This window comes from Homo sapiens, chromosome 6 (genome assembly GCF_000001405.40).
Source record: "Homo sapiens chromosome 6, GRCh38.p14 Primary Assembly".
Classification (NCBI taxonomy): Eukaryota; Metazoa; Chordata; class Mammalia; order Primates; family Hominidae; genus Homo; species Homo sapiens.
In genome coordinates this window covers 157,235,562-157,261,711 of record NC_000006.12, presented here as the reverse complement: position 1 = coordinate 157,261,711, position 26,150 = coordinate 157,235,562, and the positions used below count along the sequence as shown (strand labels likewise).

The 26,150-nt window shown below is 50.0% G+C and overlaps 1 long non-coding RNA gene across 3 annotated transcripts, besides 1 other annotated feature; it reads right to left on the bottom strand.

The window, feature by feature from the left end:
- Positions 1-4,951: 4,951 nt before the first annotated feature.
- Positions 4,952-21,295, bottom strand: LOC105378075 (uncharacterized). Of its 3 annotated transcripts, none has more exons than XR_943149.4 (3): positions 20,897-21,295; positions 10,662-10,801; positions 4,952-8,797 (listed from the first exon to the last, which is right to left on the bottom strand). It is a non-coding gene; the product is annotated as an uncharacterized LOC105378075 (long non-coding RNA). The 3 variants fall into 3 exon arrangements; XR_943150.3 differs by having other exon boundaries at positions 4,952-8,709; XR_007059831.1 differs by lacking the exon at positions 20,897-21,295 and adding an exon at positions 12,802-12,837 and having other exon boundaries at positions 4,952-8,709.
- Positions 20,934-21,718: an enhancer, noted in NCBI's record as "H3K4me1 hESC enhancer chr6:157638855-157639639 (GRCh37/hg19 assembly coordinates)". NCBI's record gives its function as "activates a minimal SCP1, AML or CMV promoter by ChIP-STARR-seq in primed H9 embryonic stem cells {active_cell/tissue: H9 hESC(primed)}" and the evidence as "EXISTENCE:reporter gene assay evidence [ECO:0000049][PMID:30033119]".

Genomic DNA, 26,150 nt, shown 5'->3' with positions numbered 1-26,150 from the left:
CATGGAGCCCTGGCCACCCCGGACAACATCAGTGAGGGGCAGTTCCTTTTCTTTTTCTTTCTTTCTTTTCTTTTTTCTTTCTTTCTTTTTTTTTTTTTTTTTTTGGAGACACAGTCTCATTCTATCCCCCAGGCTGGAGTGCAGTGGTACAATCTTGGCTCACTGCAACCTCTGCCTGCAGGGCTCAAGTGATTCTCCTGCCTCAGCCTCTCAAGTAGCTGGGATTACAGGCGACCGCCAACATGCCCAGCTAATTTTTGTATTTTTAGTAGAGATGGGTTTTCACCATGTTGGCCAGGCTGGTCTCGAACTCCTGACCTCAGGGGATCCGCCCGCCTCAGCCTCCCAAAGTGCTAGGATTTCAGTCGTGAGCCACCGTGCCCAGTCTGTGAGGGGCAGTTCTGACCAGTGGATCTCACAGGGAATAGATATCAGTAATGAACTATAAAAGGAAGACCTCCTATCTCTGCAAATGCAAGTGCAAGAAGGGCAGATACTTCCCCTAGATAGCACAACCTCGTGTGCATGGTCTCTTCACTGTGATGCTGCCTAACCACAGGGAACACGTATTCAGCTCCGAGCCTGCCAGGCTCAGTGCCCCTAATGCAGGGTTTCCCATGAGCCTGCAGTAGCTGTGAGCTGCTTTCTCATACGCTGGCTACAGTGGCCTCCATCCCATCCAGGTGAGCCAGCTGTGCTCACCTGCCTCTCGTTCTTCTCCTGGGATCCAAAGGCTGGCATGGGCATGTCCTTCTCCTGGCAAGGGCAGAGGGGAAGATCAAGCAAGTCTAATCATGCAAGTGCTTTGCAAGCCTCTAATTGCTTTACATTTGCTGGTATCCCATTGGCCAAAACAGGTCCCGCGACGGAGGCTGGCATCACCGTGGGTGGACACACGAGAATTATGTGGCAAACGGCAGAATAGAGGGAGAGGTGAAGTCAGGCCATACTTGCAACCTACCACACCAGGTAAGCTACCACCCATCCAACCTCCCCGTGATGAGAAGCTAGCAAAAAAACTGGCAGAAAATCCTGATCTTAACTGATCTTAAGCACGAAAGGGCTGCTGGATCATGAAATTGAGTTTACCTGCAATTGACTAGTTTAGGTTTTCTAACCATTAGACAGAAAAGAAGTTCAGGATAAAAATGTAGCTTAATTGTAGAAAAAAATTACAATTTTTGCTTATGTGATTTTGTGACTGCAATTTGTATGCACTACATTCTTGACCAAAGGTTCAAAATCACCAGATAGATCAATAAGTCAGCTTGAAATACTCTAGAAGCCAGCCTTCAGAAGACCTCCAGCCAAACCAGGAAGTGGCATCCAAAGCTGACACGGGCTGACTTCCAAAGAGCAGACAGAGAGGCGAAGAAACGGATTAAAAATTCTGAGTTTGCCTACAAGGGTGGATTCTGGAACAAAGTGGCCTGGAGCCTCTGACACTTTTCCTAGAATATCACCTTTCTGATGACAGCCATCTCTGTAATTACAATGATAATTGCTTCCAATGTAAAATACCACTTATCTGGCTAGAAGAGCTGTCTGGGTCAAGGCAAAAAACAGAAAATAAAACAAACAAAAAAACAATGTTCAATTTCTTGTTGTCAAATGAATAATGTTATCATCATTAAACCAATTCTAGAGGATAATCTGGTGGAGGAAGGTGGCTTAATTTAGGACTGGCGGGGACATCAAACTAAATATAAGTGTTGTGTGTTCCACGCACCGGAAGTCCTTCCTCAATGTTTACAGTGAGACACCAAAAGTAAAAGACAGGACCCAAGCCCAGGGCATTGGGAGGGAAGCAAGAAGGGACTCAAATGCCACAGAATGGAAGGCAGGATTCCACAGATGTGAGCAATTTATCTCAAAACAAGCATTTCAAAAGGCTGAGAAAAGAGAGAGAGACAGAGAGTGAGACCCCGCCCCCCATTTTCACAGTATTATAAGTGGGCTGCCTTTCCCAAGGTCCTGCCATGTCAGGGTCTTTGTGTGTGTGCATGTGTGTCCGTGTGTGTGTGCATATGTGTGTGTGTGCCCACACGAGTGTGTGTGCATTTGTGTCCATGTGTGTGCACACGCCAGTGTGTGCACGCGCGAGTATGTGTATGCAAGCATGTGTGCGTGTGTGTGTGTGTGTCTGTGTGGTGTTCTGTTCCAATATTTCAAAAAAGTTTTCGAAGAATAAAATGCTTGTGTCCTAGTTATAAGCCAGAGTTTCATGGCTGAGGGGAGAGGAGTTGACCAGATTGGTTCTTTTGGTCCTATTTCCCTGTGACTTAAAATCCCAGGGCTCCTGTGGGCCTCTTGGTCAGGGGCTCTGCACAAAGGGATCTCTTGAAGGGCAAGGACTCCTTCCACCATCTCAACAGAATAAATGAAGTCCAAAAGGGCCTGCGATGAGCTTCCACTCCCCACAGGTGACTCGTGTGGCTCGTGAATTATATCTCAACAAAGCTGCTAAACGGAAGTGGTTGTGGAGCATCCGGCTCTGCCATATCTAGGGGCCTTGGAGGCTGTCTCACAGCACCCCAAAAAACCACACTCCCACACTGGGCCAGCTCTTCCTGTTTTCACACCTCCGAGGCCACCCTGAGCAAGGGTTACTGGCAAGTGGTGTGCACATGGCCGTCCATGGCAGAGCGCCCGCAGTGGCTCCAGGGTAATGGTGTGGTCACACATGGGGCTGTCCTCAGCCATGTAGGGATGATCACAACCACCATGGCCATGTCAACCAGGACGCTGCAGCCGCTGGCCTCAGGTTTCCACCAACTTCTCGGGTCTGATCTGCGATGCCAAATCTCCCTATCCCCAAACTCTGCTCTCCCACCTGCGATGAGCGCTCACAGGGGCCGGGTCCATCCAGCCAGAGGGTCCCCAGCCTGGAGATCAGGGCATTCAGCCTTCCCAAGAAGGGGACTCTTCCCTCAACCCCCTGGAAACTCTCCACCAGGAAGCTGGGAAAACCCAGCCACACCCACAGCAGCCAGTCCAGGAATCACTTCCAGCTCTCTTCAGACCCCAGGATGGTGTCAAGCAAGAGCCAAGGTGAGCCCAGGGCTCCTAGTGGGTTTGCCTTGGAGAGAAGTGCACAATGATCACATGACTCCTGAAATCGGCTGCGGCTTCCCAGTGCAAAATGCTGGAAGCCCCCCAGGATAATCCGCGGTGTGGAAACTGAGGATCAACCCTGCACCTCTCTCTCTGGCATTAAGCTTCTCCTTAGCTATTGTGACGCCCCAAGCCCTCTGGCTGAGCCTGATCATTGCACAGCCCCTGACACTCCAAGGCTGTGACAAGAAAGGCACCTGGGTCCTGGAGCTACCTGCATACTGGGCTGGGCTGGGGTGACCCAGAGTCAGTCCCTGCAGATGCTGTTTTGATCCGTGTCAGATGCTGGGCTCTGTTAAAATTCCATGTGAGGAAGGCATGTGGTCTGTTCTAGATCCTTCGTGCACCACTTTGTATTGCAGCCTGTAGTCCCTGTGCGGGGAGTCCCCAGCTGACCCCTCATGGTGGACAGCAGCACAGCTTTCTGCCCAAGACGACCTTTTCCAGGCTGCAGGAAAAGTTTCATATGGGGGTAACTATGGAGATGATTGTCATGGTGGCAGAGGAGGCTATGATCAAGGTGGCTACTGGGGCTGTGGTGGGGACTGTAAGGACTTCCAAGGGGGTTGGGGTGGTGAGGACAGAGGCAGCTTTGGCCTTGGCAAGATGGGCTCCAGGAGTGAGCACAGACAGGATTGCAGGAGAGGTTGTATTAGCCTGACTCCCGAGATTCTGGAACAGTTTTTCTTCTTACATCCAGTGTTACCTTCATTACTTTGTAACCTTCCAACTCCTGATCACCCGCAGGTTTTTTGTGCTGGACTATGTAATTGTCTAACCTCTGGTTCCCATTAAAAACCACCATTTTAGTTTTAAAAATAAAACCTCTGTGTGCATGTGTGTGTGTGTGTGTGTGTGTGTATAATTCAGGATGGAAAAATGTAGAAAAGACTCTGTGGGTCTCTTCTCTTTCATCTTCATATTCGTTTTATTATAAATTTAATGTTTTGTGATTGTTGAAGAAATACATGCTTATGGAAAACATTTCTAAAATACATAAAAGTCTATTTTAAAATGATGGAAAACATGTGGCTGCTGGTCATATATCATATGTAGGGTTAGAGTCGTCTCAAGGTTAGAGTTTCAGAATCTTTTTCTCTCCTATTTGGATATACATTATTAAAAATCTGTCTCTCTTATACCTTATCAGGGGGCTGGAAGCAGAAGGGCTTCTCTATCTCTGGAAGTTTTCTATATTCTCCATTGCTGGATGACCTGCACAGCATGTTTAGAGAAATCCTGTAGGTTAGAAACACATGAAATCTTAATCTCTTTTTCTCTTTCTCTCTCTCTCCCCTCCCAACCCCCCCCGTGTGTGTGTGTGTGTGTGTGTGTGTGTGTGTGTACTCATATAATTCAGGATGGAATATGCAAAGTGAAGTTGATTCAACTTCCAGTGCTTTTTAGCAGGACTTGTTGTTATTTGCAGCCTGTTCGCTATTGAAACCCACCCCTGGCCTGTTAGAAACTCAGGTGTTCCTTGTCTATCCTCAGAGTAGGTGCCTTGTCCCTGCCAGGCTCTGATCCTATGTCTGCCTCCTGGTTGTCTGGATGGGGGGGACAAGGGACAGGAAGTTCGAGGAAGATTTTTAACAAAGGGATGGACATTCTAGATCTTGGACCACTTTCAAGCCAGCCTTAGCTTGCTGAAAGCAGTTCTTCCCTTGATAGGAATGAGCATGAGCTGTGTGTGGCCGAGGGCTTGGGACACACCAGGGTAACCTGCCCACCATCCAGCTGCCCCCACTGGAGGGGAGAGGCATCCTTCTCCGGCTCTCAACTTTCTATTTCATCTCTCTCAACACTCAGGCTGGACGGTGAAAAGAAAATAATTTCATCAAGGGTTAAACCAGTGTATTAATTATCCTTCTTTTGTACAATGCTTGGCCAATTACTTTGCATAAAGCAGGAAAATGGTCAATATAGAGAGGCTGGGTGGGCAGCCCCTCCGCAGAGCACACCTTCAGCAAGCGACTCGGGCCGAATCGATGCTTCCAGGGGGCGCGTCCTGAGTCCACACCACAGACAGTGATGAGCACACACTCCCCTTACTTCTCAGCACGACACGCTTGGAATAACAGCCAGGCTGCAGCTGCTCCCATTTCATCTCTGGAGTTCTGGGCCTGGCCTCTTTCAACTCCCCTTGCCCAAGAAGGCAAGTTCTTGTTTTCTTTTCTTGTGTTTTCAAGGTTGTACCTGTGAGTTTTGGTAGAAAGTCCTTGAGGCTTCTGGGCTACTGTGCCTCTGGGCCCTTGAACTTGCGAACTTGCAGAACGCTCTCTGATTCCGGTCTTCTTTTCTTTCTGGGCGCTCGGCTCCTGGTTTCCTTTGAAATCCTCACAGATAAAATGATGAAACAGCTTGGAGGCTGTTGAGGCTGAGTGACCAGTTGAACAAGTACGCCTGAAACATGCTCTATAAGCAGAGGGGTGTTAACTGCAGGCGTCTCCAAGCAGAGGGCCCAGCTGCCCGGAGCACATCTGTGTTCTCTATTTGTGTCTGCAACAACTGAATTCAGACATGATCCAGGTGTAGACAACATATTAGCCTGATAGTTAACAATATGACTGACATCAAATTGCTGGGTTTAAGTCCAGCTCTGTCACTTACTAGCTAATTGTCCTGGAGCAAGTTATTGACTGTGCCTCAGTTTACTCCTCTATACAGTGGGGATCATAATAGTTTCTACGTGAGAATTGTTGAGAAGATTAAGAGTTGAGACTCAGGAAGCACTTAGAGTTTATTGTGGAGTGCTGGCTGTTGTTAGTATAGTGATCATGCTTGTGAGTAAGGCAGTGGAGAGTGGAGACACCAGTGAATGGCCGAAGACTCAAGGCACAGTGGACAGAATCAGGATCCAGAGGACCTCAGTGAGCTACGGTGATGGGTGATTTTCACAATAAAGCTAATTATTGTGTTCCCAAGCCCCCAGCTGCAGAGGATGGGGAAAACGTGACTTTGCAGTGGTATGGGTGAAAACGGCTTGGGAGGGCTGTTTAACAGTGTTTCATGTGGGGCAGCCACGGGGTGGGGCTCCCCCAGTTAATGCAATCTTACCCAACACCCCTAGAGATAGGTGTGGGAAGAGGGAGAGCATTGGCCTCAGCCTTGGACACACGGACCACACCTGGACTCCAAAAAAGGAGTCTAGACAGGCAGGAATGTGTGCAGAGGAGTGAGCTGGTCACAAAAGAGCTTTGCGTCATGTGAGCCAGTCAAAGTGATTGGAGCTGCTGTGACAGGTAAGCCCCTAACCACAGAGACCCAGCACAACCGCTTATGGCTTGCTCACCTAGGAGGGGCTCCTGAGTGGAGGTCAGCCCTCCCCTAGCAGTGACCCAGGGCAGCTTCCCTCTTGTGCAAGAGCATGGAGGACTGTGAGTGGAAGGTGTGTATAGGCAGGGCCTGGAAGTGGCCACATGCCTTCTGCTCACATTCTAGAACTCCTGTGGCCACTCCTACCTGCGAGAGAGGCTGGAAAGTGCAGAAGAGGAGAGGAGCCTGGTGATCAGCAAGCAGCCTCTGCCACCTCGCACAATATGAAGGAGGTCCAAGAAATTGAGGATATTGAGCCTGAGAAGTGGACCTAAGATGTGTCTTCACTCAGAGTCTACTTGGGGAAAGAGGGGATCATCTTTGTTTTGTGCCACTCCAAAGGGTGGATGCAGAACCCGTGGATAGATGTTAGGAGGCAGGTAGGGTGAGCAGCTGTCCCTGTCTGGCTTTAGCACTGAAAGTTCACTCTCCTGGGAAAGCCCTCAGCCCAGGGCAGACCAGGATGGGCTGGCCCTCCTAGCTTGGGTGATTTTAGGTCCACACAAGTGTATCTATGTTGAGAGGCTCTCCAGGAAAACACTCCTCCCCACAAACCTCCACCCTCTGAAATATGAGTTGAAATGCTGTTGGCCATAACTTCAATGTTAATGAACCAACTATATATATATGCACATATTATACATATATACATATGCACATACGTATATAAATATATAGACACATTATATATCAAATTAGTTGTCTTTAAACAGAAATACACATAAAACAAGATTACATATCGATCAGTAGGCAAAAATGTGACCAGAGGCTTGCAGGAACCTAACTCTATTTCCTGTAGGGGTAGTGGTTCAATGTTTGCTAATTCAATGTTTGCGGTGACTTTACAGAACAGAACTCCCAAAAATAAGGAGAACCAATTGTATATCAATACAGTGGAATACAATTTGGTAATAAAAAACAACGAAGTGCTGATGAACCTTGGAAACATGATGCTAAGTGAGAAGCCAGACACCAAGACCACATATATTGCATGGTTCCGTTCATGGGAAATGTCTGGAACAGGCCAATCTAGAGTGACAGAAAGATTAGTGGTTGCCTAGGGCTGAGGGAGTGGGGAGCTGGAGACTTGGGGGAATATGACAGCTAAAGGGAAAAGGTTTGTCTTGTTTTGCTTTAGGTGACGAAATGTTCTAACATTGTGGTGATGGTGGCACCTGTCTGTGGCAGTACTAGAAACCACTGAATTGCACACTTTAAATGGGTGAATTGTGTGGTGTGGGAATTATATTTCAGTAAAGCTATTTTTAGAAAGAATAAAACCCCTCCCTCCTGGGGAACTCGCAGGAGGAAGCAGAACAGGGCATACCTGGCCAGCGCGGCTCTCACCTTCATGCCTCCCACACTGGGGCTTTGACAAGCCCTGCCCTTTCCAGGCAGGCTCTGGGAGGGACTCAGCCCCCACACCTCCCAGGGAACGCTGTCCAGCTGAATTCCCTCATCACAGAACAAAGACTCGGCAGAAGGGCCCAGAGGTGGCATGGGTGGCCTGGGAGAGAGAGAGTGAGCTCCTCCATTTTTTTTTTTTTTTTTTTTTTTGGAGACGGAGTCTCTCTCTGTCGCCCAGGCTGGAGTGCAGTGGAGCGATCTCGGCTCACTGCAAGCTCTGCCCCCCTGGTTCAGGCCATTCTCCTGCCTCCCGAGTAGCTGGGACTACAGGTGCCCGCCACCACGCCTGGCTAATTTTTTGTATTTTTGTAGAGATGGGGTTTCACCGTGGTAGCCAGGATGGTCTTGATCTCCTGACCTCTTGATCCGCCCGCCTCGGCCTCCCGAAGTGCTGGGATTACAGGCGTGAGCCACCGCGCCTGGCCTGAGTTCCTCCTTCTCTAATTGCCTAAGCACAGGTTGGTGGAAATGCTGGGAGGGGATTCAAGCAGCTGACAGCAGAGATTCCAGGTGACACAGCTCCAGTTTCTTCAAAGAGTCTTGAATCCATCAGGAATGCTTTTGATCACAAGTAACGAAACAGCTGACCAACAGGCACCAGGCAGTGAAGAGAGGCCGTCAGCTCACACGGTCAGAAGTCCGGAGGTGGGCGGTCCCAGCTGGCATAGGTGCAGGAGGATGGGTGTCAGCACCAGGCTTCCTGGTTACCTGCTCTGCCACCCACAGCACACGGCTGTCCATGCCAAGCCTGTCACCTCATGGTCACAAGATGCCACCATGTTCCAAGTATCACATCATCACACAGAAGCGTTGGAGGCAGGAAGTTGGGGAAGGTGCAGAAAGGTCTTTTCCTTACATGCCTTTGTCTTGTATCTGAAGAAAAATAAAAGTATTTCCTGGAAGCCCCATCAGCAGGCTTGCTCTGTGTCTCGCTGGCCACAGCTGGGTTGTATGCCAAGTCCTGGGCCAAACATGGGATTACAGTGATTGGTTTGGACCAGGCACAGTGTACCTTGGGGGGTTGAAATTATGGGATTGCTATCCCTCTACCTAAACCCAATCCAGCTTCTACTACAAGGGAAGAACGGAAAGGGGGAATGGCTGTTGGGTGAGCTGTGAACAGTATGGTTGAATGTCATAGAAAGTAGAAAAAAGACTGATGGTGTTCTCTTGCATGAATACTATTTTGACATTTTGCAGAACCGCCAGAAAAATAAAGACTTTGATGTTTGCAATTATGAGCTCTAAATCTAACCAAGTTTACGTAGCTGTAACCCCAAAGCCCCCAGGACTTAAGATACCAGAGCCAGCCTGAAGAATGCCAGTGCCGGCACCTCTGCCTCTCCACCAAGCATTTCCTTGGTACAAAAAGGTGAAACTTTTCATTGTGTTACTGGAAATGTATCACGAGGCCACCGTTTTGCCTCGGCATGGCCCCTTCATTAGCAGTTTCTTCAGAAGTGGAATGCAATTTGGAAGTAATCTGTTTGCTCGGACACGGCTGAACGATGGCTCCTATCTGGAGATAACTGGTGCTTCTGCAACAAGAAGTCGATGCCTTCTGCATGCATGTGCCTCAGAGACACATACCCTAATGTGCCCACCATGTCTTGTGAATACAGCAAAGCAGCTGCAACCTTCTAAAAATTAATTGGTTTCTGGATCATTTGCATTTTTTATAGTTTGCCAACAACAGGGAGAGGGGAGGGAATTTATTAATGTTTGAAGAAATTTTCCAAAAGGGGAAGAAGTGAGCATTTTTAGCAGGACCCAGAGATGCTTATCTAAATATGACATGGCATTGCCTTTCGAGCTGCCTCTCCCGGCAAGCCCCTCTGAAGCGAGAATTGATATGCAGCCCTAAATGTAGACAGCTGCTGCAGACCTCCAGAAACTGCCTGGGGCTTACATTATTTTATTTGGGGTCTGCATTATGGTTCAGTAACAGCCATTTTCAGAAAACAACCAAGGCAATTTCAGGATTCACTGTCACAATAGGCCCACTAAAAATAAAGTCAGCATAAATAGATTAAGAAATTGACAGAATAACAAGGCATAAAGAATGAGAATGAATGTGCCCGCTGCAGATGACAGCCCAGCACACTGTGTGGGGAGCTGGGGAGCGACAAGAGGGAAGGTTGGAGCTTTATCTGCTGACTCCGTGGTTTCCAGATGTTTTCTGACTGTGGGGAGAGTTTATTTCACAGGGATAGTCAGCCCCTAATCTAATTCTGCATTAGTGGCAGTGGAGGCTCTATACGAAGCGGGGAGAATGGCTTTCATTGTGGCATTCTGTTTTTTCATGGCTGATACCTCTTAAAAGACAGGGTGGGCCTGGGCGCGGTGGTTCACACCTGTAATCCCAGCACTTTGGGAGGCCGAGGCGGGTGGATTACCTGAGGTCAGGAGTTCAAGGTCAGCCTGCCAACATGGTGAAACCCCCGTCTCTACTAAAAATACAAAAATTAGCTGGGCGCGGTGGTGGGTGCCTGTAATCCCAGCTACTCAGGAGGTTGAGGCAGGAGAATCTCTTGAACCCAGGAGGCGGAAGTTGCAGTGAGCTGAGATCATGCCACTGCCTTCCAGCCTGGGCAACAGAGCAAGACTCTGTCTCAAAAAAAAAAAAAAAAAAAAAAAAATCAGAAGTCTTCCATAGTAGATCCCTAGTCCCAAACATGAGTTTGGAGAAGGAAGAGATGCAGTGCAGAAGGAAGTAAGTTGGAAAAAAAACTGTTTTTAATTCAGTCATGACATTTGGAGAAAACGAATCTCTTCAGAAAACTGGCAGGAGAGAAAAAGATAAAAACTATCTGCTATATACTTACTGTGCCATCATAGGTCAGTGCATACTGTGGTAAGCTCAGGGAGATGGACTCTTTCTGATCTGGGGGTCCAAGCAGGCTTACTCAGCTGGTTAATCACAGAGCTCTGGTTGGGGCATCCGGCCCCCGACTCATCAGCATCGCTGGAAAACATCATGATTTCTTTTCATGTCTGGTCAGGCTGGGAATGCCAGAGAGAAGCAGCTAGGGCGCCTGGGGTGGCCCCCAGTTCCTCACTGTCTCACCCTTCACTGATTCTATGGCTTTTGTTGAATAGAACAGAGCAACAGATACTGCTTTTATGGGAAAATTTCATGGAATTTTCTGGAAAGGCATTTCCCAACCGAGTTCCCTGGTGTTAATAGGTGTTAGGTGAAAAAAAAAAAAAGATTTCTTAGCTTAAGTAATGTTGCAAAAGCAGCTGAATTTAGCTAAGCAGGTGAATCTCCTTCACGACTTCTCAGCATCTTTGCTAAGGTGAAGTGCACTGTGAATCTTACAGAAGGGATAAAGTGGACAGCATTTCTCCAGTGAATCTTAACATTAAAATTGTCCCTTTGAAAAATATTTTCCATGGAACACCTTGGTAGGACTCTCTGGAAATATGTTTTGTCCTAGATACAAACCATATGATTTTCAGTTAATTGAATATAGGAATGTTAGGGAACATAGCCCTCTACGTTTCTGCCTGGCCAGGACCAATTTTCTTTGAAAAAGGAAACATTTTATTATTATTTTTCCAGTTCAGTACTCATTCAATTATCTCCAGGGGACGTGACTTAAAGAGCAGAAATGATGGCACTGAGTTCTCCAGGTTGGGAAAAAAGAGGGGACAAGTTCAGCCCAAACCGTGCCTGGTGGCAGATGCCTGCCCAGGCCCCTCCATGCTGTGCTAGTGCTTTGGCAGACATTCATCAGAGGTCAATAAAAGTTAAATCAATGAAATGAAGCTCCGCTGTGGAGACATTTAATCATTTCATTAAGCATACTATTGTGTCCAGGTGCTTTGCCAAGTATAGCGCTGGTTATGGCTTCATCTAATTCCTAACTGCTGGGAAATGCAGCCAGCAGCCCTCAGACGCTCGTGCTCTGCCTCCCCAGGCAGCTGCTGGAGAGGCGGCCAAGGCGGGCTGCTGGAGGAGTTCACCTTCCGTGTATTCCAAAGGGAGACAGGGTCTTCTCCTCAAGTTTCTTTTGAAGGTTCTCCAGCCTGATTGGAGTTAAGGGAAGGTAAGGATGGGGCAGGAGTGGGAGGATGTGGAGGGGCTCTGAGGGCTCCAACTTGGCCAGGGTTTCAGAGCACCTTGGGCATGCAGAGCTGTGGTCCACAGTGGGGAGTGCTCTTCGCATGACAGGCTTTCTGGAAGACATGGTGTGGGGGACTCCCCCAACCTCTCAGAGGCCTGTGCACCCATCTGCAGCCAACCTCCACTGGAACAAGGCTCATGGAACTTCAGGGTATAGAAGATCAGTCAGTGCCTTTTGTGGTGGAGACCCAATACAGTGAGCAGTGCCCATGGATGAGAGTGGGGGACCCTGTCTGGGTATAACAGGGAGAAGTTTCAGGGGATGAAGGCCAGGAGCAGGGAATTTTAATACAAGATTATAAAATGAATTGAGATGCTCCCTTGAATAGAGCCCCTCCTCACATAGGTGGTCCACTGATTTTCAACAAAGGTGCAAAGGCAATTCAATGGGGAAAGGATCATCTTTTCAATAAATGATGCTGGAATAACTGGACACCCATATGCAAAAAATGGGACCTCTATGTGAACTTCGAACCTTATACCAAACTTAGCTTTGAAATGATCCTGGACCTCAATGTAAAAACTAAACTATAAAACTCCTAGAAGAAAACATAGGAGAAAATTTTGTGACCTTGGTTTGGCAAAGGTTTCTTAGCTACCACACCCAAATGCATGATCCATAGGAGAAAAAAAAAGTGATAAATTAGACTTGTTCAAGATTAAAAACCTCTGCTCTTCAAAAGACAATGTGGCTCACACCTGTAATCCCAACACTTTGAGAGGCCAAGCTGGGCTAATTGCTTGAGCCCAGGAGTTTGAGATCAGCCTGGGCAACATGGTGAAACCCCTTCTCTAGAGAAAACACAAGAAAATTGGCTGGGTGTGGTGGTGCGCACCTGTAGTCCCAGCTACTCATGAGGCTAAGGTAGGAGGATCACCTGAGCCCAGGAAAGTTGAGGTTCCAGTGAGCTGTGATGATGCCACTGTACTCCAGCCTGGGTGACAGAGTGAGACCTTATATCAAAGAAAAAAAAAAAGACAGTGTTAAGAGAACAAAAACACATGCTATAGATTGGAAGAAAATATTGGCAAAATACTTATAAAGGACTTGTACCTAGTATATAGTTGTTAAACTCTCAAAATAATAAAAAAAAAGCAAAAACAGCAGAAGATTTGAACAATTTGCCAAATTGTCAGATAATGCCAAAAAAATATATAGATGAGAAATAACCACATGAAAAGATGCTCAAAATCGTTGGTCTGTAGGGCAATGCAAATTAAAACCACTTCCCACCTGCTAAAATGGCTAAATTAAAAAGAACAACCCTACTAAGTTCTGGTGAATACACTGAGCAGGGAGATCTCAACTCTGAGTCACAAATCATTTGGTTACTTTCTAGAAAAAGGTATTTTGGAAGAGTGCAATATTACAAAATAATAGTCCATTTGATGTCAGGAACCTAAAACTCAGTGTCTGGGGTCAACAATCCCAGGAAGAGGGTATTATCCTTATCATCCCTGTTTAACAGACAAACTGAGACCTGGAGAACTTGGATGACAAAATGAGTTCATGGTAGGGATTAAAAGCAGGTGGATGAATTCCCAAGCCCACTGCCTAAGCACTGTACCACATGGCCTCAGCTAGCTACACACCTAAAGACCTCATGAAAGGAAACACCACACCAGCAAGGACAATGAGAACCACCCCACCCCCAGACACACTGCTAACACCCAGACATTCTGCATCCGTATTCGCCAGAACGTGGTGTGATTGGGCCAGGCACGTTGGCTCACGCCTGTAATCCCAGCACTTTGGGAGGCTGAGGCAGGTGGATCATTTGAAGTCAGGAGTTCAAGACCAGCCTGGGCAACATGGTGAAACCCCATCTCTACTAAAAATACAAAAAATTAGCCTGGTGTGGTGATACATGCCTGTAATCCCAGCTACTCTGAGGCAGAACTGCTTGAGTCGGGAGGCAGGAGAATCGCTTGAACCCAGGAGGCAGAGGTTGCCGTGAGCGGAGATCGCACCACAGCACTCCAGCCTTGGCAACAGAGCCAGACTCGATTAAAAAAATTAAAATTAAAATTAAAAAAAAACTTGATATGGTTGCTCTACTAAACAGAAATCTGGGCTAAAAAGGAAACCTTGAAAAGTTTGGAAAGAAAGAATATCTCTAGAAAAAAAAAAAGTAGGGATTGTCAAGGAATCTTTTTCTGTATATAGTTTCTCATTCCTTGCTACCCTCAACCAGAAGGGGGAAAAAAAAAAGTTAAATATAGACTCTTGGGATACTTCCAGACTTCAGCAAATGGACCTTCGGAAGATTGCTGAGAGTTACAGAAAACTGAGAAACTAATCAAAATTGTGTTCTTTGATGACTTAGTATTCACCAGGTACTATTCTAAAGGCTTTATAAGTGATAATGCCATTCAATCCCTGCAGGAAGGTATTATTAGCCAGATTTTAGAGATGATTAAACCAGTCATCAGAGAGGGTAAGTGACTTGCCTAAGGTCACACAGCTAGTTGGCGGTAGAGCTGGGATTCAAATCCAGGTTTGTGTGATATCAGTGACTGACTTTTCCATCCCATCATTGCCATTACCAGTAAGCAAATAAACAGTCCTACCTGGGCAGGTTTGCGTCCTGTCTCTATCCTATGTGTCCTTTATGTTTACATAGTGGTACCAGATGTGCATCCACGGCTCTGTAATTTCCAAGGACCTGCCTGTCCTCCCCCTCCCAATCTGCTGGCAGTTTACAAATGCTTCCCAGGCACCACACAGGGGCGTTATCTCTCCTCTCTCGCTGCGACTGCACCTTGGCCTGTGCCCTGACTCTAGACAGAAGCCTAATAAATGGTTAGTAATGACTCCAGCCCCACACAAGGAAAGCTGCCCTGGCCCAAGCCCCCTAAAGGCCTAAGCGGATTAATACCACCTCGGAAAACCTGCAGACCGCCCAGGATTGGGGGCACGCGTGTGCTTCAAAATTTCTTCTCGATCGTCTGTGAAAATGAGTCCGTGTCCAACAAACAGCATTGTTCCATGTGAGCAGCCATCAATGCACTTGGCAAGAATAAGGACTTGGAACACGCTGGTGATTATTTTTAATTGGATGGGCCTCGTGGCTGTAACAAAAATCGATGTATTTCTGACGCGGCTGCGGATACACTGATCCATCTTGGCCCTGCGGCGCTCCGGCGGCCAAAGGAGGCCAGCACTCCAGAGAGCAGCCCCCTTTTGGCTTTGGGGCCCTGAGGACCAGAGGCTCAGGGCTTCCCCGCAACAAGGCCACAGGACCCCGCTGGTGGGAGGGCCGGGGCCCCGCGCTGACCAGACCCAATAGAGGCCCCCATTGGGGGACAGGCCCCGCGGTGCGGGAGAAAGTGGGTCTGGGGAAGGAGGGGGCTGTGCAGGGGGCCGCCTGCACCCTCCGCTCCGGCTGTGGGCTTGGAGGGTTTGCGTTTCATGGAAAGTGCAGGCCTGCTAAGCATTTGCCACTTGCATCAGGAGTGACGACCTGCCCACGCAGGACAGGGCCAGGCAGGGGGCTTATGAGCCAGAGAGCCTTTTAATGCTTTCATTTCTGGCTGGAATCACCATTGTGAAATATTAAAACCAAACAACAGAACATGGCCTCCCTGGTGTAATGAAAAGCACGTGGCTCTTATCCCTGCCGGCAGCTGCCCAAGGTCTTTGAGGAGATGGGGTTGCTGTCTGGGGGAGACTGGGGTTTGTCTTTCTTGCGGGGAGAGTGGGGGTTGTCTGTGAGCTAAACAGATGAGACAAGTGTTCTATGGAGCCAATTTTTTTAATGACGCATTGGGGGAAAAGAAAAGTAATCGGATACCCACCCAAGGCTTAAGGAACCCTTGAACCTGGTTTAAAGGTTTTTCTCAAGAAAGACAATAGCATGGCCACTCTTGTCTCCAGCAGTTCATGGACAGGGTGAGGCCTCCATGCCGCTCACATGGAACAATGCTGTTTGTTTAACACGGACTCATTTTCACAGCTGATCAGAGAGGACATTGTGAAGCACCGCCCCCGCCCCCCCCAACCGTCCCCAATCAGGAGAGGACCCCGAGTCTGGAAAGCGTTCCTCTCAGGAGTGGCCTGGGAGCAGGTAAGTGCCGCAGGCAGATCCCGGGGTGCAGACAGCAAACCGCAGCACCGTTGCTTCCACAGCTGCAGCGGGGAAGTGTTTTTATGCACGCAGGAGCTCAGAGAGTGAGCAGCCACCATCTCAGTGATGTGTCTTTTGAAGATTTTTGGAAGCTGCTTCTAGACCACAGTGCAGCCTCACTAGCAATAAAAGGAGAAATTCCCTGGAGCACCAGGAATGCTACTGCCATTCCCGTGAACTGTGCCACCTGCCACCCCCATGCCCTAACTGAAAAGCTCCCCATTCACACTCAACAGAATCAATAACAATTTAAACTACTTTATAGTGAGCATGATTTCTGTTTCTAATCCTTTTTTTTTTTTCTTGAGACAGAGTCTTGCTCTGTCTCCCAGGAGTGCAGTGGCACAATCTCAGCTCACTGCAACCTCCATCTCCCGGGTTCAAGCGATTCTCCTGCCTCAGCCTCTGGAGTAGCTGGGGTTACAGGCATGTGCAACCATGCCCAGCTAATTTTTGTATTTTTTAGTAGAGAACGGGTTTTGTCATGTTGGTCAGGCCTGGTCTTGAACTCCTGGCCTCAAGTGATCCGCCCTCCCTGGCCTCCCAGAGTGCTGGGATTACAGGCATGAGCCACCTTGCCCGACCTCTAATCCTTATCTCTGGGGTTTAGCATAAACACACACTGGAAGAAGAGATCTCGGCCTTCAGACACCCCCTAAACCCACCTGAGCCTGCTTCTCTGCAAACACCCTTGACATCTGCATTAAGAGCCCAGGGGACCTCTGCTTGTAGGCTGGGCTGCATTTTCTACAAAGCCCCTGATTTTCACAGCCACATAAGTGATTTCTCTCTCAGGGCATTGCTTTTGTGCAGAAGTTTATCATATTTTTTTTCCTCAGTCTAGAAGTAAATCTTTTTTTTTTCTGAAAACTTGAAGGAAATCCTTTAAGCTGTTTGGACTTATTCAAGCATGTAAAAAGGGTATTTCAACCCATAGTTCAGCTGCTTAGAATGTTCTCAAATAGCCCAAATAATCTGAATTTAAAACTTTGAATTGGGCCTCTTTATATAGCATCTTAAAAAGGTGCCATTTACAAAGAAAAATATGGCCATGAAATAAAGGATATGGGGAGAAAGTGATCCTGCTGGTTACAGTAATAGATTGAGACTCATAAATCTTGGTTTCTATTCTTGGCTTTGGAAAGAATTTATGTGCTCACTGCATTTGGCACATGGTGGCAACAGGGAGATAGACTGGAGGACTTGGTATGAAGGAAATAACATCATCCTGCACACGTTCAGTTGTGAAATCCACACACAGGGCACTGGAGACAATGCGTGCAAAGCCACCTTAAAGAAACACAACAATCTGCAAGTCAGATGGGACCAGCCAGGACTGCCCTGGAGAGTCTCAGAGGCAACTGCGGGGAGCTCATATCTGAGCAGGGGGAAGGAGAGGAGGGAAGGGTGTGGGAACGGGGGAGAAGTGGGGTGGGTTGGGGTGGGTGTGGGGTGGCCCAAAGGCTTCTTCTGCTTCAGGGGAAGCAGTAGAGTGTCCTTGGCTGACTGGGGATCCAAAGCCCTGCTCTGCCAGTTCTGAGCTGTGCGATCTTGAGCCAGTTACCTAACCTGGTGTCTCAGTCCGTTAAAGCCCCTGTAACAAAGGGTGCAGCTTGGCTGAGTTCTGGTGATGGCCCTCCAAGTTGCAGGTGACGGTCCTCTCCTTGTGTCCTTTGTAAAGGCACTAATCCCATTCATGAAGGCCCCACCCTCATGACCTAATCTCCCCCAAAGCTCTCACCTCCTAACGCCATGACACTGGGGAAGAAGATCTCAACACGAATGTGGAGGAGGACACAAACATTTAGTCTGTAACACCTCACTGAGCCATAAGAGCTTCATTTGGGAAAGTGGAGACAACAGTTCTTAACTCATGGAATTAAAGGAGGATAAAATGTGTATACCTCACTTAGCAGTTAGGGAGAGGTGGTGAGGACTGTGCCGGTAGGGGTGGCAGTAACACTGGTGAGGGGATTGCCATTGTGGTACTGCTGGAAGTGGTTATAGTGGCGGTGGTGGTGATTATGGCGGTGGTGGTGGGCCAATCGTCAATGCAGAGATGGCCAGGTCCAGGCTGCCAGAGCCTGTTGCCGTTATCAATGCCCATGAGCCAAAGAAACCAGGAACACATAGTTGAATAAAGTTAGGTTTCTGGGTACTTGTTGCCACAGGGGAAACCGCACACCACAGGGAAACTTGGGGTGTCTCAGTAAGAGGGTGGTAGGTGACCTTGTTATAGGAGTTGAGCTCGCGTTAGGTGACTTGGGAGCAGTTGCTCTGGATTGGGTATAATTGGGTATCACTAGTTTTTATCCAAGACGAGAAAGGATAGAGCGAGCTAAGGCTGTCATTGGTAAGGAAGTAGCCATCATTGACATTGGGTGAGAGGGAGGCACGTGTGGTTGTTTTTGTGGTTTGAATAGTGTGCTGTGTGTGTGTCTGTGTTCAAACATGATTACCTTGTTTGAACAAGTGGTCTTGTTTTTGTCTCCCCCTATCCAGTCACAGAGTTGCCTTGTTCGATGTTGGTGTCCAGGAAAATTGTGTTTGTTCAACAAAAGACCATCATGGTGGAGTGGTGGGCGCCAGGCTGGCTCCCAGCTGACAGCTGGCGGGGTCTGCCTGTTTGTTCCTCACCCTCTCGCCCCGGAATCCCTGCTGCAGTTCATTGCTCACCAAGAACCTCTTGGATTAGAATTGGGCTTCCCACATGTGGGACCTGCAGGGGACAATTGTGGTCAAAGGGATCTGAGTATCCCAGACCCCTGTGGCGATAGCAGTGTTGAGCCATATGAAATTGCCACTTTTATAGGGCAGAAGCATTCAAATATTGGCAATTTCCCACAGTAGAGCCGAAATATTTCTCACCATTAGTTAATAATTTGTTATCCTGCAGCCCTTAACAGTTTCCCCTGGGCCCCCTGCGAGAGGAAGCCCTCTGTCTCTGGGTGAGAACGATTTGGGGTTTCTCATCCTATAAGGCAGAGAGTTGAACCTTAAACCACACTCAAAATTATCAAGGTAACGTGAGACCCTCCAGAAAATACCAGGCTTTTCCCCCATGGCACCCTCTTCCATTTATCAGAGGGAACTTGGCTCCGAATCCACTTCTGCCTGTCAGTAAGTCAGTTAACTCATCGTCTTGTGAAATGACTTATGAACCTCTTTGCCCGGGCTCAGGCGCTGCCCATCTCTACCCCCAGTGGAAGGGATGGGCACATGAAGGGAAACAAGTGAGACAACTCGAGACACAAGGACCTGGGGCTGCGATTGAGAATAAATGTTTAACTGGAAAGCGGCTGGGGTGTGGACAAGGAAGCTGCCCTGGGGCAGCATGGGTGAGCTGGGTGCAAGGCCCACACCTGGCATCACAGCTTCCTGTAGCTCGTCCCAAGGTCCATTACACACACACACACACACACACACACACACACACACACACACACACACACACACCCGGAGAGCGGTGACGCGATCTCGGCTCACTGCAACCTCTGCCTCCCAGGATCAAGCGATTCTCCTGCCACAGCTTCCCAAGTAGCTGGGATTACAGGCGCGTGCCACAATGCCCAGCTAATCTTTGTATTTTTAGTAGAGACGGGGTTTCACCATGTTGCCCAGGCCGAATTTTGACCTCAGTAAAATTCTGGGGGCACCTGCTGCTTTAAGTGACACTTTGCTTGGCATGAGTTGCTGAGTGCCTGAGTAGGTTAACAAATTCAGGCGAACAAAATCACCTGCGCTTTGAATGGTGCTATTATTATATAGGAGTGATTGCTGAGGCCAAGAGAAGGAAACTCAGAGTTTTTCCAAGGCTCTGCCAGGCTGGGCTGCCCCCACCGGTTTGGGCACTTCTGGCCAGAACCAGTCATCCCCAGAAATGTAGGGCGCAGCTGCTGGACTGTAGGGGAGCCCAGGTTTGGGGAAGAGAAGTGTATTAGTTTCTGTGGCTGCTGTTACCAATGACCACAGCCTTGGTGGCTTAAAACCACAGATGTTCATTCTCTCGTGGCTTGGAGGCCAGAAGCCCTAAACCGAGTGGCCACTGGCAGTGCCTGGCATTCCTTGGCTTGCAGCCACCTCACTCCAGGCTCTGCCTTAGACTCCACATGGCTTCCTCCTCTCTGTTCTTCCCTTCTACCTGTCTCAAATCTCCCTTAGCCTCTCCATTAAAGGACGCTTGTCACTGGATTTAGGGCCCACGCAGGTAACCCAGGATGATCTCCTCATGTCAAGATCCTTAATTATATCTGCAAAGAGCCTTTTTTTCAAATAAGGTCATATTCACAGGTTCTAGGGATTAGGATGCAGACATACTTTGGGGGCCACCATTCAGTACCCCACAGGAAGCACAGGGCAGCAGCCGGCTTGGCCCGCAGTGCTCCTCCCGAGCCTGCTTCATTAATGGGCTGGTGCTTCGTCAACACGACAGCATTTGCCAAGGGCAGGTGTCCTTTTCTCCATCCCACCTTGGAAGCCTCCCAGAAGCGGCCAGGCCCCTGTGGGACTGCCCCCACTGCAGCGTCTACCTCCATAAACACTTCCCGGGATCCCCCTTGGAAACCTGGCTGCCTGGCTCCCCTCCCTCCACCCTCTTCCTCAGCAATTACCCCAAGCTGGCCGGCTGCAAGGTGCTGGGGATCCCCGGGAGTAGGGGGCTGGAGCCCGGTTCAGCCAGGCCCTCCCCTCCTCCCTCCCTCCCTCCCCAGGGCTGGGTCATCGGCCCCTGCACCCTGAGTGCAGCTCCCATGTAGGGACACCCTCACAGCCCATCAGCCCTCCCCCAAAACACACGCTCACTCACGCTGGCTGCTCGTCCCCTGGAATGGCTCCTAATCCCCTCGGCAGTGACTAAGCACCTTCCAGTCACTGCTCCAGTCATTAATTTCAGCACGGGCGCGGCCTGGCCGTGCTGTTCTCCTGGAGCGCCAAGGCTGTCCGCGCAGCCATTGATTTAGGAGACAATATCACTTGCTTCCAAGTTTATGAGGCAGTAAACAGCCCCCGCATAGTGATGAATGCCGAGGTGTTTGCTCAGCACATTTGCTGTGCGCATTTATTACAAGGGCTGTGCTTTAAAGCAAATGAAACTGCAACTATTTTCATTTCCTCCGGTGGGGCCGGCCCCTCCCCCAGCGGTTGTCCTATCTATTTGATCCTGGATCCCTCTTCCCTGGGTACTGGGCTGCAACCCTGTGACCAGCCAAGATGCACACCTGGTCACTGCAAACACCCCTGTTTGCTTAGGCCTTGGGGAACCTCAAAGGACCCCAGACACAGGGCTGGGAGGGTCTGGAATAAGAGGGGCAATGAAGAGGCTGCATCTCCAGGACCCCGCCCTCGAGGCCTCTCTCCAGCCTTGCCTCCTCCTCCTCTCTGGAGAGGAGCACGCGTAATAAAAATAGAACCCGCCAGCCGCCAGCATCTCCTCCCCTCGCAGCATCACACACCAAATAAAACTCCTTTTAATCTTAAGAAGCTGGGACGCCTACAAGGCTGGGCTGCCAGTCCATAAAGATGAATCTTAGAGCATTTACTGGTTGGAATGCCCTGTGAATCGAAACTGGTTTATGTATAAAATATTAGGACGGCTCGGAGGAGGTGGCGAGCCGGTGGGAGCGACCAGAGGAGATTGATTGCGAACTTTGTGCCAACCGAGCAGTTCCCTGAAAGCTGAACAGAGAACAACACTTGAAAAATGTATCAGATTAGCCCCAACACAAAGCTGATTTATAGCCGCAGTAATCCGCATCTTGCCGTCCATTTTGGTAATAGAGAGAGATTAGGATGGTGGTGGCGCTTTGTGGGGTTTCTCCAGCTCATTCCTCCCCCAGCCCCCAACCCCACAATGAATCTTGCGGTAAAATCAGGAGTTAGCAGTTTCACCAGACATTGTGATGTGGAGGGTGTTGAGTTTTGAAGCATTTTTGAGTTTGGCATGAAAACTGACTGGATGAGGAATTCGTTTTAAAAAATCTAATAATATTGATTGCTTAAAATCACAAAGAGTTTCCTGGGGAGACGGAGGAGGCAAGTTCCCCAGTAGCCCCCAGGCTGTGTTTAAAAGGAGAGGTGTCGGAGCTGAGTGGCTGCCCTCCAGAGGCACCCACGTTGCAGCCCACCTTGAGCATAACCCCAGCCCATACACACAGCATTTGGGGCCACCTGAGTTGGGAAGGACAAGGATAGAGCCTGCTTTGAGACAATGACATTCACCCCCACCTGTCACTGGCTACTTATCTATTCAGTGGACATTTGCCAGTATGTACAAAGCACCATTCTAGGTCCGTGGGAGATGCAGAATGTGGGGGTGCCCTCCTACTGTTGCTAAATGCCATGTGGGACATTTGAGAAAGATCAGGGTCACTGCCCTCCAGAGCCTTACAATCCCCACTGGAACTGGGGCACAGGAGCCAGATAGATCAATAAATATGGAACATGCACCAAACCAGAGAAATGGTAACTGGCATCATGTCAATCAAGGGCAAGGGAGAGAGACCGAGAACTCCTGGGGATGGGATGAGATGTGATTGAGGAAACTTCTCTTTCTGTGCAAAGGGCTCCTGGGAAGAGTGGGAAACAGGAAGATGTGTGACTGGACCTGGCCCCTCCACAGGGCCTGCCGATATGTCCTGCTTCTATGGAAGAACCGACCCCTAAAAGCTGCCTTTGAAACCCTTTCGTCTAGGCAAATCTCATTCCCAAGCTTATTGTTCTAAGAAATAGTTTAGAGGATCCTCTTTTCTACCATTGCTCATACATGCACAAGACTGTTCAGGACTCCCTGGCAAAGTCTGATTTGCCTGAGCACAGCAGGAGGTCTTCCCTCTGCCCATCCGCCTCATCAACAGATGAATCTCTCAGGCCTGGGAGGAGGGGCTGCTCACCACTAACAGGATGGGGTGATGAGACATGCTGTGCACAAAAACACCTGGTGCAGACAGGAGGTATAGACACCAGGAGAGTCTAGCGATAACACTGGGACCCAGTTGCTGAGAGCTTGTGGGGTGACCACCATCACCACCACAACGTCACCCTGATCCTCACCATCACCACCTCATCACCATCCTGATCATCATCACTACCACCACCCCCATCACCATCACCCTCATCCCCACCACCACCATCACTGCCACCCTCATCATCACCATCACCATAACCACTACCACCACTATCACCCCCATCCTTACCATCATCACCATCATCATCACCATCACCCTCATCCTCACCACAACCATCACCACCACCCTCATCACCACCATCACCATAACCACTATCACCCTCATCTATTATACTCTCTATCACCACCATCTCAAAGGTGCCTGTGGGGTGGGCCGTTTGCTAAGAGCTTCATATATATCTAGAACAATCCTCATAATAATCCAGTGCCATAGGGGCCACTATGATACCATTTTATAGGTGAGGGTACTGAGGATTAGAGAGGTCACCCTGATAATAAGTAGCAGAGTAGGAATTCAAGCCCATGCAGCCTGACCCTGCGTGAGTATTCACAATATAGTAAGTTCCCCTTATTGGTGGGGGATATTTTCCAAGACCCCCAGGGGATGCCTGAAGCCTTGGATAGTACCAAACCCTATATATGCTATGTTTTTTCCTATACATACATACATACCTATGATTAAGTTTAATTTATAAATTAGGCACAGGAAGAGATGACCAACAATAATAGAACATTTACAACAATATATTGTAATAAAAGTGATGTGAATGTGGTCTCCCTCTCTCTCAAAATATATTACACTGTGCTCACCAATTTTCAGACCACGGTTGACTACTGGTTATTGAAACTACGGAAAGTGAAACTGTGGATAAACCGGGACTGCTGTACCAAACTGCCCCCTCCTAGGCTCCGAGTCTCTGTTTACTGCTGTTTTCTTGAAGGTTTGACCGGTGAGATTGATCTTTAGATCAGTTGCTGCTGGTCACGGGCCAGCTGCAGGCGTTGTGAGTGGAGATGTGATTGTACCTCCATGAGCTGTTTGTATCATTCATTCCCCCATTCACCGCTGATCTGAGCGGGGAGGGTATGAAGAGAGGAGGCACGCCCTCCCTAGAGGAGTTTATCCTTTTGACCTTCAGGGGTCAGATGTGGCCACATGGCTGTCCTCACCTGAGAGGATCACACAGGGCCCAGACCAGCGCGTGCCCCGTGTGCTGTGAGAGAGCAGGGGCCAGGTGGCAGGCAGCCCTGCATCCTCACCAGCTGCCTCCCTTCCCCCACCCAGTATGGATCTGAATGTTGCGCGCGCGCGCGCGCGCACACACACACACACACACACACACAAAACCTACCTACACAAGACAAAACCCCAATTCATTTTGCCAAAGACATTTTCCCTTAGATTTAAAACCCTGTGTAATTTAAGAGATATGTAATTCATGTGTCTGCATTTAAACCATCAAAGTGCTTTTAAAAGAGCTATTTGAAATCTTTGGAGCTTTATGAACCTTTAAAGTTCTTTCTTTGAAACATGGGAATCACACACTGCCAAGGATAAAGATAGTCAAATACCAAAGGGCTAGGGGTGGGCTTGAGACTCGAAATCCGTGACATTTCACTGACAAAACTGAATTTCTCCTCTTTAACATCCACTTCCAATTAGGACGGCAGGCTGCCTGGCATTCTCCACCTCTGCGTGCCGGGGATGGCGGCGGGGCAGCACCGGGCACCCGAGCCCGTCCGCAGGGGCACTTTCCCCCTCGCACCAAAGCTCCCAGAAGTGGGCCCGAGTCTGCGACACCGGCGCCGCCACGTGCCGAGGTCGGGACTGGTTAAATGCGGGTGCCTGGGCCCCTCGCCAGGGTGGGCTGACTCCGCGGGCCTGGCGGGCCCCGGGCTGCGGGGACCACGATTCACCGCGCCCCCGACCCTGGGGATGCCCGAGCACGCAGGTGTGGGGACCCGGCCAGGGACGGCTCGGGCGCTGCCCGGCTGATGCCCGCCGTCCCCCGCTGCGTCCCTGGCCCCGGACCCCACGGAAAGAAGGTGAGGGGTGCGGGCGCCCCGGGTCCACCTCGGCGGAGCAGCTCCCACGGCCCCCGCGGGCTCCTAGCTCGGGTCGTCCCCGCCGAACCCGGGAGGCCGTCGGTGTGCGAGCCCACTTCTCCCCCGCTGCTCCCAGTGGCCTGGCAGGTGCTGTTGAAGGCGGCCAAACCTCCGCACTTCCCGGGTCAGGGCCGCTGTGGGCCCGGAAGGCTGAGTCGCGGGGCCAAGCCCCACAGCCCGCCTCGGCCCGCAGGTCACCAGGGCGCGCTAGATGCACGGTCCCCGCCGCGCTCCGCCTGGGTGGGCCGCCAGGGTGGGGGATGTCCCCTGCGGAGTCCGCGGCAGAGCTGTCGGGTCCCTGCCGCCAGCTCCGCCGGCGCCTACGGGGTCCGAGGCCGACCGACCCAGGCCTGCTGAAGGGCGCTGGGGTGGGGCCGCCACCTGAGCCGGCCGTCACCGCCCGCCCTGCCCCGCGGATGCCACTTCTTCTCCTGGCCCAGAACCGGTAGCCCCCAGGCGGAGCCGAGCGCGGCCCCCGGGGGTTCCGAGAGCTAGGCGGGTGAAGTCTGGCACCGGTCTCCTCTCCGCGCTCCGCTCCCCTCCCCTCCGCTCCTGGGCAGCGCCCCTCCTCCGTGTGCACCCCAGGAAGGCGGTGTCTTACTCCCTGTCCTGCCCTCCCCACTGCTTGGGACCAGCTGCGACTTCCTTCACCCCGCAACGCCTCCCAAGGCAGCCACCACGGAGGAGTGAAGATTGTCTGAGGAATCTGGCTCTGAGTGTCACTGCGGCCGCAAGGGAGCGGGGCAGCAGCCAGGGGCCTCGGCTCTGGGCAGAGTCCCATCTTCGGCGGGGAATTGAAGGCTGGGGTGCGCTGCTCTCTCCGCAGCTGCCGGCCCCGCACACGTCTGTGCCCCACAGCGCCCCTCCTGGGCTCCACCAAAAGCCATCAGCTCGCAAGTTCCAAGCGCTGAGGAATGCTTTTAGAAATGGTTATATTTGGTCCGGCGTGGTGGCTCATGCCTGTAATCCCAACAACACTTTGGGAGACCGA